This window comes from Homo sapiens, chromosome 5 (assembly GCF_000001405.40).
Source record: "Homo sapiens chromosome 5, GRCh38.p14 Primary Assembly".
NCBI classification, from domain to species: Eukaryota; Metazoa; Chordata; class Mammalia; order Primates; family Hominidae; genus Homo; species Homo sapiens.
This window is the reverse complement of record NC_000005.10, coordinates 107,284,255-107,299,800: the sequence shown is the minus strand read 5'-3', so window position 1 is coordinate 107,299,800 and position 15,546 is coordinate 107,284,255. Positions and strand designations below refer to the sequence as shown.

The 15,546-nt window shown below is 39.7% G+C and overlaps 1 annotated feature.

Moving 5' to 3' along the window:
* Positions 13,404-14,603: an enhancer, noted in NCBI's record as "CDK7 strongly-dependent group 2 enhancer chr5:106620899-106622098 (GRCh37/hg19 assembly coordinates)". NCBI's record gives its function as "activates an origin of replication core promoter dependent on BRD2, BRD4, P300/CBP, MED14 and CDK7 cofactors, with strong dependence on CDK7, by STARR-seq in HCT116 cells {active_cell/tissue: HCT116}" and the evidence as "EXISTENCE:reporter gene assay evidence [ECO:0000049][PMID:35650434]".

Genomic DNA, 15,546 nt, shown 5'->3' with positions numbered 1-15,546 from the left:
TTTCTTCCCTCTGTTTATTACGGGAGGGAGCCTGATATTTCTAAGGCCTATCATTCCCCATGTTTAAGTCCCTTCTTCCTCTGCTTCCTGGCTATCACCCACTATTCTTTCAGATTTTATTTCTGTGTCTTAAGTCTCTGATCTTCCTTTCTTTTTCTTCCATTTAGAAACACAATAAATAAACAAAAACAAATATAAAAACTTCATTTTATCTTCTTCTTCTTTTTTTTTTTTTTTTTTGAGACAGAGTCTTGCCCTATTGCACAGGCTGGAGTGTAGTGGCTCACTGCAGCCTTGAACTTCTGGGCACAAGGGAGCCTCCCACCTTCTGAGTAGCTGGGACCATGGGCGTGTCCTGGAACCACAGCTGGCTAATTTTTCTTTTCTTTCTCTTCTTCTTCTTCTTTTTTTTTTTTTTTTTTGCAGAGAAGGGGTCTCACTTTGTTGCCCAGGCTGGCCTCAAACTCTCAAACTCCTGGGCTCAAGTGATCCTCCCACCTCGGCCTACCAAATTGCTGAGATTACAGGCGTGAGCTACTGTGCCCTCCAAAACCACTTTCTTGATTCTAGTTAGCTCTCCTTCCATTCATCTACTGCCTACCTTTCTTCTTCCTTTCACAGCTACACTTCTTTAAAGAGTTGCTACCAAGTGACCTCAAGCTAAATTTGCAGTTCAAAAATAGTCAGAGTATTTTGGTAAACATCAGTAGGTTCTGATCATTAGAGGTAGAGAAGGATTTATGGCTCCTCGTTGTCACTTACTTCCAGGTAGTGTGTTATAATGGATGCAAGTCTTAGTTTGAAATCTGCTATTTATACCAATATTTATTATAAAATAGGCACAAAATGTATAAAACCAGTTCCTATAAAATCAACTGAGACCATTGCTGTCTTTTGGCATTTGCATGAAAGAATTCCTCTAAAGTGACACCTGATATTCTGTGGGACTTCTGATTGGATCGGGCATCAGAGCCCTGTATGTGTGGAGGACACAGGAGTTGGAAACCTAGGCTCTAGTTAGAAGGTGTTAGGCTATTAGGTTTGCTAGATTCTTTAATTTCTTTCAGATGGAGAAGATAGAACCCACACAATCTCTTTTCTTCTCCAAATATCATGAACCCTACTCATTTCACAAAAGAAAATTTATTTCCAACATCCAGTAAGGTAATTAACTATCTGGGGTAGATTGAGATAGTATTTGAAGCACTTGTCTTAGTGCCTCTGTAAGTCTAGATTCCTAATGACATTCATCTAAGAGCTAACTAACCTCCTACTGAGGTCTGATTAAAGTTAACTTACATACACCTATGAATCATACTGCTTATTCTGAAGAATTTTAAAGCATGGGACTACTTAGTCGTTGAACAATTGTCACTTATCCTTATTTCTGCTCCGTTCTCACTTGCAGCTATATCCACTCTCAGCTGCCTTCTGTCCCCATTGCCCCAAAGAATTGTTCTTTCTAAGGTCATTAATAATCTCCGAAAGAATTCCAGTGGACACACCTCAATCCTCCTTTTACTTCATTTCTGGTTGCATTTAGCACAGCTGGTCATGTCCTCTTTCTAAATACCGTACCCTACAGATTTTCTTCCTGCCACATTAAGGCACCTTGGCCTCCATGGTTGGTTCTCCAGGTAAAGAAGATGGAGAGTGAGCAGAATGGTTTCTTTCTCGGGGATGACTTTCCAGGTTCACCTCAAATATTATTACCTATCATTCCACCTAAAAGATGGTAAAAGATACAGAACCAAGACTTGGAGCTTTGTAAAATCAAATGTTAGCTGGATGCTGAAGAACCAATAAAGGAGTCTGAGAAGTACGGGCCAGGGAGGTAGAAGGAAAATCACCACAGGGTGGAGAGTCGGGAGTGTGTTCCAGGAACAGGAAAATTAGACAACATATTAAACACTACCCAATTAGGATGAGGTCACGGAAGAAATCAGAGAACAAATATCAGTGCAGTGGTGGGGACAGAAAACAAATGGGGCTGGAGGGGGTAGAAATGAAAATGGGAGATAAGAGTGAGAGAATTTCTTTAGAAAATTTTTATTGTGAATTGGGGCAGAGAAATGTAGTAACAGCTGGAAGGGGATATAGGATCTGTCTTAGTTCAGACTGCCAGAACAGAATACCATAAACTGGTTTAAGCAACACACATTTATTTCTTACAGTTTTGGAGGCTGGGAAGTCCAAGATCAAGGTGTCAGCAGATCGGGTGTCTGGTGAGGCCATTCTTACTACAGCATGCTTGTGTACTGATGGGAAAGATCCAATAGAGAGAGGGAAATTGATGATGTAGTAAGGAGGGTATGAAATCCTAGAGAGGATGAGGAGGATGAATTTTATAACACTAGTAGGGGGATTGGTTCTTGATAGGAGTAGGACAGTCCTTCAAATATAATAGGAGAGAAGAGAGAAAATGGTTAACTTTATAATTTTAGAGTTGGAATGAATAGGAATTTAATAATTTTTAAAACTGTTGGGATTGTCAAATAGCTAGAAGGAAGAACGTTTGCCTTCTGTAGAAATTGGGTGTAAATAACTTGTTAGAATGTTGAAGGTACATTGCTACATTTGCTCCTTGGGAAAAGCTTTTCCTATAATATATAAAAGTATAATAAGGAATATCAGGCATGTGTGTGTATGGGTACTCAGGTAAAGGATGTGAGATGCACATGGATTCTGAACTTTTATGTGACTGGGCTAAGATATGCATATTGTCATTGCTTTAAAAATGCTATACTTTCCCGTATGATTTGAAAGATATCTGCTTCAATGGAAGATAATAATTAAGAGGCAATAGCATAAATAATTTACATCCAATAAATTCACTTTCTTAATTGGTAAGTCAAAATGATAACAATGGCAATGCCTTGTTGATTCACGGACCACCTGTACACAGAACAAACCTATCAATTAAATGCAGGTTTTTGTTCTAAAAGGAGGGTGTGTCCTGCTCTGTGAGAACTTCAACACAAAAAGGTGAAGTACTCTGTTTTGCAAGTTTGTGAACAAGTGGTTTTGCTACAAATTCACCACCATCACCACACAGGATGTGCTTGAGGGAATGCTTTTTGAGGAAAATTTAAAAATACCAGTGTCAATGACCACTCTGGTGGTTAAACAAAATCTCGGGCAGCATACTGCTGTAGACTTTTAGCTTCTTCATTTTTTTTTTTCCTTTAAATAGAACCAATTAACTCTTACTTGAATTTTCCAAATACATGAGGTTTCACTACCATTTTGGAGGAATGGAGCCAGCGTTTTGATTGTCACACATAGACTTTCACTAATGTATTTTTCCTCAAAGGCAACTAGATATTCATGTTACTATTGCTTTTCCTTAGAAACAGAAGTCTCCCGATCATAATTACAGGCTTTGAGCAAAGGCAACAGTAGTGAAGAAACCCGGAGCTCTGTAAACATTACTGAAGAACCATGCCAAATATATGCATAAATTCAGGTACGGGGAAACTTCGGGCTTAATGTTCTTAAGATGATATTTGAAGAGTGTTTCCAAAAATAAGGTTTTATAAGGGATTTTGAAAATTTGTTTGTTTTTAAAGGAAGTTTTAGCTTGTCTGGTTGTGCAGATAATCTTCCCTTCCTAAATCAGTGCCTTGCTGTTTTGTGAAGTCCAGGGCCCTGCAAACTGAAACAAAAGGTGCGAAGTTCTTCTCATCCATCTTAATAGGGTGTTAATGACTGCAGAGGCTGACTGAGACCATTTAAATGTGAGCGCTATTAATCACCTAGAAAAAACACAAACACCCAGCTCAAGCCACTAAAATGTAATTGCAAGGGACAGTTGGGTCTAATTTTGATTTTGAATGAAGACTTGTATAAAAAAAAAAATGAGCTGCCTCCAAGCCAGCTTGGCAGATTTAAAGCCAAGCCTACAAGCAACTGCCTGCTAATCTTTTATTGAGATTTGAAGAGGTGGTTTCTTCCATGAACTTGCAGTTTAGCTCTTCTGCATCTAGTGAACAACTTTTACCAATGGTATAAATTTCTACTAGGCAGTCACTTGCCAAATTACATTTCCTTAAGAGGACTTCCAATGTATCCTTTGACTTGGAAATGTGTGTGTGTGTGTGTTTTAAGTGCTTCAAGGATATTTTATTCAAGGTTTTAAATAATTTCCTGTTTCCATAACTTGTTGTTCTGACTCTTTTTGCAATGTGTTTGTCATGTCTGAAACTATTGTTTTTCTCAGATTTTGGCAGGGTTGGGGGTGGAATCGGCAGTGGTGAATCTTGGCTTTAACTTGGCAAAATTGGCAATATTTCTGGAAAACAAAATGAAAGGTCTAGAGGAGCATTTTTTTTTTTAAATTGTTGTTGCTGTTTTGCAGGGTGGGCTAACGGAAGAGTAGAAATGTAGCAATTCTACTTTACAGAAAAACAGAGTCTGCCTTCTGTATTAAGTGTAATCTAATGTATTAAATTGATAGAAATACACATGGTGCTAGGTTTCTGTTGAGGAATGCAGAGTTCGGCACGTATTCTCAGTCATCTCATTCACACATTGCCTGAAGTTTGAGATTAGTAATCAAGGGGTGGTTTATTTATTTTTGTTTTTCTATACATGGCCAAAGTACATGCATGATCTGTCTTTAGGGTATGGGGATATGGGAGGTAGGGGGATCTCCCTGGTCCAGGGTTCTTTGCCTGTGGCATTGTTTTCCATCGATAACTACCGCTGGGGACAATGACCTGGCCTGGCCTGATCTGACCCAGTTTCATGTACAAGATGCAAGTTTGGAGGGTATTTATCTCAACTGTTGGACATGTTGTTGATTTTTATTTTTTGACTGGAGCAGCCAAGCCACTTTTGGTTTCACCACTCCTTACATTCACCCTTTGCTTGTTGCCTAGGGCAGAAGGCACTTGGAAAGTTCACAAAGGAAATAAAATACTTCAGTGGCCTCTGAAGTTAAATAAAATACTTGTCTAAGGGTTAGGTCTTTCCCTCCTCCCTTTCGCAATGGAAAGAGGCAGAAAAGCTGTGGATTTTAATAAGGCTAACATTCTAGGTTTGGAAAAGGTCAAGTGACCACAAATGCCTGATAAAGTATTTGCTTTTTTTCAGTATAACATTTGAATTTTAAAATATGATATTTAAGGCAATTATTCTTCAGAAGTTCACTAACTTCAAATGAGTAGGTTCTAAGGGCTAAAAATGCTCCGTACCATCCAAGAGTTGTCACTAATGTTGCTGTCATTGTCACTTAAGGAAGGATTTGAAAGGTAGTATGTTCAAGATATTGCCAGCCTCTTCCCAGTGCCTGGTGGGTGGGGAGAGAAGAATGGGTTTAAAAGGCAATTTGAGCTGCAATCAGATAATATCAATGTATACATAAAGTACAAGTTATATGTTGTTATTTAGCATCTTCAATTACCCATTGTGAAAGTTAGGGGTGAATCTTTGGAAAAGCAGTGAATGTTTATCACCCACTTCCTCTTTTTCTCTTCCTGTTCTATTATGAGTTGTCAGTTAGCCTTTCTTTAGTCCTTCTAAGTTTGAAGTGTGCAGAATATTTAACATTATTCTACTTCTTCTAAGTTAATTTTTAAAATTCTGAAGTTCCTTATTTTAAGGCTACCTGTGTCTTAAGATAGCTGTTCAGGAGGAAGCGTGGGAACTGATTTAGTTTTCCCACCGAGAAGCCCTGCACGAATTCAAGTATTAGCCTTGATTCTGGCTCTGCAGCAGCCTCACTGTGTGGTCTCGGCAAGAAGTTGTTATATCTCAGTTTCCCTATCTGTATAAAATGGGGTAATTACCCTAGCTTACTCAGTAAGTTATAGCCTTGAACAACAAATGAATGATGATAAAGTATTTAAAACTACAAGAGAATGTAGAAATTCTAAGTATTACAGTTTTATTGCCTTACAAGGGGTGATAAAGTAAAAGTGAGGTTTAATAACAAATTGAAATTCCTAGATGAAAGGGACTGGAGAAGTTCAAAGTCATTTTATTATTATTAATAATAGGTGTTGTACTGCCTTCGTTCACCCTCGTCATCTAATCAGCACGCATTCCTTGGATTAAAGGGAGTGTTCTCTCTCCAAATGACTTTTATCTACAGTGTTGAGACATTCCTTATCCTGTTTTATGGATATGGAGTTTTGAATGACTATAAACAACTCCATTTTTTAGAAACTTTTTTTTTTTTTTTGAAAAGAAGAGAAGCCAAGTTGCCTCTTGGTTCACCTTCGTAAGTATGTGAAGATGTTTATATGAAGCTCCTTCACAGTTCTGTTCCTGTTTGTGAGACCCCAACCTCCTTGCTCATGGATTTATGTTGTTCACTCCATAGACATTCTTAGTTTCCCCTTTGTCTACGTGGAAAGATTCCAATTTTATTTATATAGAGTCTCAAATCATATCTCTAATTTTAATACAAAACCTCTGTTAAGCCAGAATAAACGGAAAGCATAAATACTTTAAAATGCTTTACTTTAAACATTTGCAAGAGTGGAGAACAGATTGTAGAAATTTCTCAAGTGAAAGGAACTTGACATACATGACAAATGTGAGGCTCACCTGGCTGAGGGGATGAGAAGATGTGGAGCCAGCATCGGCAGGAGTCAGAGTGAGGCTAGGCAAAAAAAGTATTCAGCTTCAAACCACTCTTGTTCTTTTTTCTTTTAAAAATTTTTTAAGGCCTGGCGCGGTGGCTCTCGCCTGTAATCCCAGCACTTTGGGAGGCCGAGGCGGGTGGATCGCAAGGTCAGGAGATTGAGACCATCCTGGCTAACACGGTGACACCCCATCTCTACTAAAAATACAAAATATTAGCCAGGTGTGGTGGCTGGCGCCTGTAGTCCCAGCTACTCGGGAGGCTGAGGCAGGAGAATCGCTTGAACCAGGGAGGCGTAGGTTGCAGTGAGCCGAGATTGCACCACTGCACTCTAGCCTGGGCGACAGAGCGAGACTCCGTCTCAAAAAAACACACAATTTAAATTTTTCACTTTTTAGGACAATTTCAACTTTTAGATACAGAGGGCACATGTGCAGGTTTGTTACATGGCTATATTGTGTGATGCTGAGGTTTGGGGTATGGATCCCACCACCTAGATAGTGAGCATAGTACCCAACAGGTAATTTTGGTGGTTTTTAAACCCACACCCTGCCCTCACTGACCTGTCTAGTAGTCCACAGGGTCTATTGTTCTCATCTTTATGTCTATAAGTACCCAATGTTTAGCTCCCACTTATAAGTGAGAACATGTGGTACTTGGTTTTCTGTTTTTGCATTAATTTGCTTAGGATTATAGCCTCCAGTTGCGTCCATGTTGCTGCAAAAGATACGATCTTGTTCTTTTTCATGGCTGAGTAGTATTCTATGGTGTGTATGTACCACATTTTTATTATCCAATCCATCACAACCATGCTAGTTCTGAATCTTTTACCCTGCTTGGTGAAAACCATAATGAATAAAGCATGCAAAATTTATTTGTGCAAAAGAATAAATAATGGCTTACTGCAGTAGTATCTGCTGGTAAGTTCATTTTTTTAATTCAAAATCTTAATAAGGATCTTCTTTTTGATATTGAACTATTCTGGGATTATGGGAAATGGAAGTATATTTAAAATTTAACAAATTGACAAGAGACACAGTGACCCTTTAGATAACTGGAGTTAAATAATGACAGAAGAAGTGTTCCAAAGCGGTAGATAATTAAATGTCAAACAAGAGTGGCAGCCAGTGAATGCTGTGGGCCTGGCCTGGCATGTTGGAGGTATTCAAGAAATACTTTTGAATGAGTTCACAGGAGGCTTGGAGTGGCAGCAAAGTCTTGGAGGCCGTTGTTAATGGAGTGGACTCTTGGGAGTCAGTTCGGGTTTAGGGATTGATGTGGAGAAAGGATAAGAAAAGGCATTCAAATTGGAAGACCATGGGGAGAGTTGCGAGGAGGGATGATCACCGTGTGTTCACAAAAAATGAGTAAATCTGTGACTGAAGTGGGGGACTGGCAACTCTTTAATAAAATCACTGCAATGTATAGCTCAAGCTTGTCCAACCTGCAGCCCATGGGCTGCATGCGGCCCAGGATGGCTTTGAATGCAGCCCAACACAAATTTGTAAACTTTCTTAAAACATTCTGAGATTTTCTATTTGTAAACTGTCTAAATACATTATGAGTTGTTTTTTGCAATTTATTTTTATCTTTTTAGCTCATCAGCTATCGTTAGTATTAGTGTATTTTATGTGTGGCCCAAGACAATTCTTCCTCTTGCAATGTGGCTCAGGGAAGCCAAAAGATTGGATACCCCAGGTACTGTAGACTGTTCATGGAATTGTATAGTTTCTAAGTACTTTGTAAGTTTCCATTAGTTGCGTAAGGCTAAAAGCCTACAAGGTGGGCTGAAAGGGTTGTCTCTTGGGAAGCTGAAGCTATGTGGCACCACTTTGAAGGGAGACGCAATTTGGGGACTCCTTTTCAGAGAAGCGATAGCTAATGTTATGCAACTGTCGGTAACTAAACTGGATCGGAAGGCTTAAACTATTAATACTTTCCTCTTCTGAACTAGATTTTTAAGCAACTGTAAATGCAAGCAGGTAGGCTGAGGAAGTCAGGTGATGATGCAAGAACTTTAAGGAGTGCTTACCTGTGCTGTGACTGAGATCATACCATAGACAACCTCCTACAATTTTTTTTTTAAGGATAGGAAGCCCCTCCTCACTGCCCCCCGCCCCCCCGTGTGAATGAAAGCATATTGAGGAAATACTTAATAATTAGAATCAGGAACCTGATGAAGAATGGCTTGTCAGTGACTCACTCAGTATACTGGGGCTGAGTTGACTTTTACCAACTCAAGTTTTACAATCTCATTAATGATTGTTAATAACACAGACAAAGAAAAATACTGCCTTGTTTTCTTTCATCATTATGTGTGAATGTAGCTGCCATTTAATGAGTGCCTGTTACATTCTAAGCTTTGCATATGTGCTTTCAGATATTATCTCCAATTCTCCACATCTCCAAAGTGGTTGCTACAATTCTTTTATAGTAGGAAAAGCAGGAAAACTGAGCCACAGAGTGGGTTAGCAACTTTTTCATGCTTACCCAGTCAGGATTCAAAGCCTGGTGTGAGCCCAAAGCCTGCACTCTTTCCACTGTGCCACACTGAGGAGTCTTCTCTGTGTAAAAATTAATTTAAAAATGTGTTATCACTCTTCTAAAATCTGAAAGTAATATTACCCGGACTACTCTGAGAGTGTATGTATATATATTTAATTACCCTTATATAAGCCTGGAGGCATTTTCACACAACCGCCTCAATGCACTTTGTATATTCTAAAGTTTTTCTATAGGCAGAGATTTAGTGACAAACTAAAGTTAGAGCCATGTGCAGAGAATCCCTTGCCCTTTTCCTTGCTGACTCGGCTTCCTGCAGCCTATTGAACAGAGGCTGCCAGAACCCATGTGTGTGTGTGGAGATATCAGTCCTGAAAGCAGAAATTGGCAATGCTCGGAGGACGAAAATGGCTGCAGATGTTGAGGGCGGGGGAGTTCAAAAGCAGCTCTGTTTTGTGGAATCCCACACTTGAGACCTTTTTTTGCGGGGGGGTGATTGGGAAACTAATAGCCCTCCACATTTGAGTTAAAACATTATGCTGCTTTCAGAGGAAATATAAAAGAGCCCTTGCCTTCCCTGCTTAGGCTGAGGCGGCCCTCCCCTTTGCGGCTCATCAACCTTGTGCTTCAGCCTTGGGCCTGGATTCACACCTCCTCCTTGTGACTGGCACTGGTTGAAAGGGAGGATCATGGCCAAGATGTGATCTGGCTGAACAGAAGGGTGTGGTTCCAGCATGGAGCCCCACTCTCATGTCTAACCCCCATCACTTCATCAGACCATTTCTTTGGCTTCCAATACTTCCATTATTATTTTTTTTGAACTTGGCATTTTTAGACTCAATAGTATACATATTGCTTAATAAGTACAATTCCTCAAATATTAAAACATCAATAGATTGCCTATTTTCTGCCTTTACCCCCACCCCCAACCCTCCAACCCCCAGGAGGAATTTATAATCCAAAATCAGTTGAACAAAACTTGATCCTGTTGTACTTTCCAGAACACTCACTTGTTCCACTGAATTCTTTTCTCTTAATTAGGTTCTGGCGAGGTATATGTGCTGTCTTTGTGGAGTCTCATCTCCTGTGCTGTATGTGTGTACATCTCAGATCAGTCAACCAGATCAATCTCTCAACTGTGTGTCAATACCTTAACCACACCACCCACTCATCAACTTTTCGTTTGAGTTTCAGTCTTTCATTTCTCAATTTCTCACTTATGTTCAACTGCTCATATGACCCAATGAATAATTCCTTTTGTCTCTCCTCTCAATTATCTTTTGTCCCAGCAATAGAGTTAGAACCTGTGACTTGGCCCATGAACAAGCTTTCGGGCCATGTGGTAGAACTGGATGAGAACTATGGGATTAAAAGTCTGGAGACAAGACTATTTTTTCTGGTTCAGCAACCTGGGGTTTTGAGTAAGTCTGTTTGCCTTTCTGAGCCTCAGTTCCCTCTTTTGAAACAGAGCTGATGATTGATCTGTAATATTCATTATTCATTGAAGAAGTAGCTAATGAGTGCCTACTTTTTGTGGCTCTGAGCTAGATGTTGTGCAAAGGTGAGAATATAGACACGGTCTCTGCCTGGAGCTTATATATGGGAGTGTCAACTGTCATTGAAGAATTCCACAAGTAACACACTTATCAACCATTATAAGTGCTATGAAAGAGAAGCACAGGGGGCCACAGGAACAGACAACAGATATACTAACCTAGTGGGAACAGGGGAGAGGGATATGTCAGCATGTCGGGACAGGGATATGGGTTTGGATGAGGGATAGTGCAAGAATTAATTAAGCAAAGGGGAGGGGAGAGAGAAGCATTCAGGGCAGAGGAAATAGCCAATGTAAATGCCTCAAACAAGTATATGGAAAGAAATGAATGAAGACCACCAAGGTTGAGAGAGACTACAGTGGGAAAGGGAGGCTTAAGATGAGGCTACAGATGTAGAGAGAGGCCAAATTAGGTGAAACCTTTAACCTTAAATTGTATTCTAAGTACAATGAAAGGATTTGAAAACAGTGGAGTGGCATGAGGTTTGCTTTTTAAAAGTCACTCTGCCTCTGATTAGAGAATTGGTAAGAGGAGGTAGAAATAAATGTGGGGCATTTTTAGTATTCTAGGCAAGAGAAGAGAAAAAGAGAAGAGAAGAGAAGAGAAGAGTATAGCATAGAAGAGGGTGGTAGAAGAGGATGGAGAGAAACAGATGGTCCTTCCATGTTTGTCTCTGATGCTTTTTCTTGTGAACCAACCCTATCAGCCACACAGGAAGGGATCTTGACTCTTCCTGCACTAGGTTTTTGTTTCAGCTTCACATTTGGCACATTGTTTACTTCGTCTTGCTTATTCAATATTTTATCTCCTCCACTGGATTTGAAACCTCTTATAGCAGCTACAATGCCTTGCCTACCTTTTTATTTTCTAAAAAACCTGGCTTTACATATAATGGGTGCATAGTCAGTGTTCTGGTTGGGTCTATGCTTTTCTTTATGGGCAACTTTATTGGTCGATGTGATACCCCCATCCAGAGGCAGAGCTGAGGGATTTGCTGGCAGGCCTGAGAGGTCTTTAGCCTAAACGTTAGGTTATATTAGGTGGAATTTGCTCTGCTATCCCCGAGGAAACAAAGGAAGGAGAAGGGTTGTGGTGGGAGGAAGGGGAAGAAAGATAATTTCTCCTTTGAAGGTCTTAGTTCGGAGTCACAGTCTTCCCTGCTTCGTATTCTCCTGCTGCAGCACTGCCGACAGAATTCTCACACACACACAGTTGCCTAGTTATTTCAAGTGTGATAGTAGGAGAAACTTCTGGAGTGTCAGGATCATCGACTGAGGCAGATGAAGCCTCACCTGGTGCTGACTGTAGGTTTCGTTGCTCTGAGGTGGTCACTGCTTACTCTTCTGAGCCCTTCCTAACCTTTCAGCAATCTGTTCACGTGGTTCCTATTCTCTCCTCAGAGGCTGAGGTACTTTCTTCAGCTACTTTGTAGCCATTGGCAGAGCACGGTCCTTTCCTGTTTGGATCCCAGATCGACCCCTTTTTGGTGTCTGGTTGAAACTCTTGTCTGAGCTGCCAATTTCTTCAGAAATTAGGAGTTTTGTTCCGGGTTCTCTTTCCATAAATTCTATTTCCTCTAGGTTTCTTTCCTTTTGTGCTCCAAGAGACTTTTAATAGTCATTCTTCAAATTTGGGGACTTCGGAACAGTTCATGACAGGTATTTTCTTTCCCTCATCTGCTTTGTTAAAGAAAAAATAATAGGAGAAGAAACTTTAGCTTTCCTCAGTGCCGTTCCTTTTTCCTCAGAGCCTACTTTGAACTCCTTCTACTACAGTCCCTTTATAGGGCTTGTAATAGACGATAATGTGCTAAAAGCAATCTCTGTTAGACTCTGGGAAGTCTCATTGTCTTCAGTTAGACTCTTTAAGATTCTTAAAACCCCCCAGGCACATTTAAACTTAAAAAGCTAGACCTTGGTCTGGGATCACCCTTCATTCATACTTATTTTCTGGTGAGAGTGGTATTTTTCTCTGGCTGATATTTTTCAATCTAGAATTACAAAATACTTGTGGCTGAAGGTCACTTTAGAGACCATCTCAATTCTTATCCATATTCTTATTCTGTTGTTAAGAAACCTAAAGGCCTGGTGAATCAAGTAGTTTGTCCTAAGTCATTTAGTTATTTAGTATTAATGACTAGAATCTTTGTCTTCAAAGGCCTAGCTTTCCATTCTTTGTAATTCTCTACTTTAATTTTCTACCGAAACTCATACAGCAGGACAAAGACATTGTGTTCTCACAGGGCATTGCATCATTCATTCCATCAATCATTTAACAAATATTTATTGAACGCCTATATAAGCAAGGAGCTGTGCTGGTGCATAACGAGTATGCATAAACAGCTTGATTTAAATACAAGCCAAATACAATTAATTTCTGTTAACCATTTATAATTGTAAATTCTTTTCCTAGGAACTGAAAAAATACAACCAAAATATTTTATGCTTCTATCATGTACAGACAGTTATTTTAGAAAGAACAGGGAGAATGCCATGTACTAATTATGCTGAGTTATGGATTTCTTGAGTTTTATAGAAATGTTTTGGTATGAAAAGAGATGGGGTAAGCAAGCTTAAGTTTTCGTAAAATAAACATTGGAAATTAAGACCATCTTCAGAATAGCTACGTGGTGGATAAAAAGTTTAGAAAATGTAATGTAGAGGCCGGGAGTGGTGGCTCACGCCTGTAATCCCAGTACTGTGGGAGCCTGAGGAGGGCAGATCTCTTGAGATCAGGAGTTTGAGACCACCCTGGCCAACATGGTGAAACCCTGTCTTTACTAAAAATACAAAAATTAGCCAGGCATGGTGGCAGGTGCCTGTAATCTCAGCTACTGGGGAGGCTGAGGCAGGAGAATCCCTTGAACCCAGCAGGCAGAGGTTGCAGTGAGCCTAGAAGGCACCACTGCACTCCAGCCTGGGCAACAGAGTGAGACTCTGTCTCAAAAAAAAAAAAAAAAAAGGATGTAATGTAGAATGAAATTGTTGTCTCTGAAAACTGTCATCAAGTTGTTTGTTTTACAGGTGGCTTATTATTACATCTTGAAAGGACTGGATATCTGAGCACTGTCTGACATTACTTTTGACTTCACTGGAGGTAACCTAGAAGGAGAGAGATGTCTCAGCAGTTTCTTTATCAATCGCCACCTTTGGATTTAGCCTTCTGTGGTCATTTTGAATAGCAAGCATCTGAGACAGCAAAGGTGGGCGCAACTGCCAAAACCACAACCCACGGTCAAAAGGATCGTCATCCATTTGGGGGTAAGAGGCATGATATGACGTTCAAAGAGTGCCATGTCAGGAGTCAGAGGGCCTGGTTCTGTGCCTAGTGCCAGCTTTTCTTCCCTCGTATGACCTCCTGGCAGGCCACCTAATCCTATGGATAATTTTTCCTCACCTTTAAAATAGTGATAAAAGCTCCTGCCTTACCTATGGCATGACATTATTTTGAGGATCAAATGGGATTGCTAATGCAAAGCTGCTTTCAGAACTCAAAGACCTCTGGGAATATAAGGCAGTTTTTGTTTTTAAAAAAACCTAGAAAATTGACCAGTAACAGAAGTATTTACCTTGCAGAAATTAGTGTTTCCTTCTTTGGTGGGTGTTGGGAGTCTGTGTGCATATTTTACTCTGTGGAAAGCACTTCTGTTCCCCTTGCTTTGAAACTGGCAGGAGATAGGCTCAGTGCTGGTGGGAAGTAGCTAGCCTCTCTTATCCCTTCAAAGAAGCAAGAACAGGACTGAATTTTATTAGAGAGGCTCACTGTGATGGACATGATGAGGCAGCAGCCACTGGATCACTCCCAGTGATCTCTCATTCCCGCAGAGTCATGGGAACACTTCACAGACAACCGATGTGAGGTTCTGAGTCATGTTTGCAATGTTTCCAGGTGATGGCTGATACCAAATGTTTCTTTTTCTTTTGTGCCAGGGCTGTAGGTTCTGTTGTGTCATGATAGAAAGGAGTAAAAGAAAAAATCCTTTTGCAATGCTTGATTGTAGAGAAGATTTTATTTTACATTCCATTATTTCGTGCAATAAGCTCTCATTGAGTGGGCACCATCAAAGGCATTAGTGATACAGGCCTAAGTGTTTGGGAAGACTGTGCCATGGAGTAATTACATCACATTGTGGTGGTAAAGCTCTGGGTTGAAGCAGTTAAAGCTGGAATACTTCCTTCATATCTGTGCTCTACTTATCTGGCAGCCTCAGAAGGTATGTGTTCTAGAAAGTGCAACAGTAAGATGGCAGAGATTATGTTAGTTTGACTTCTGTGGAACACATTTTCATTCCTTCTTTACCCTGCCTTTCATCAGCATTCAGCATTGTGAAAGTAACAGAAGTGAGAAACAAATTTGGGTTTGTCTGAGGCAGAAGCTAGCAGTTATTTATGTTAATATATTTATTTAATGACTGTTTAATTAATAAGCAAGATCTTTGCCTTCAATTAACATAAATTCTAGCTAAGGGCATAATGGTCACACAATGTAGAAATTCCTAACATGTTGGGTGTGGATTTATGGTATGGGAGTTTTATTGTAAAGGGCCTACAATAATACATCAAGCCTAATCCAAACAAAGGATATGCTATTAGTTTTAATGCATATAGGATCTGCTGTGATTACTAAAATACAAATCTAATTAAAGTTACTAAATTCATTGTGTCTCTTTACCATTTCACATTTTACTTTGACTGTGTAATTATTTTATTACATATTTTTCCACACTAGAGTATAGGTTCTATGAATCTGTTTTTATTCCATTAAGCCCCTGGGTACTAGAAGAAGGTTTGTTAAATGCTGATTAAGTATGTATTCTCAACCAACAGATTGAGAGATTACAAATATAATGTGCTATCCCTTGAAATTTTATAAATTTAAAAAGGATTTAACTTTTATAAA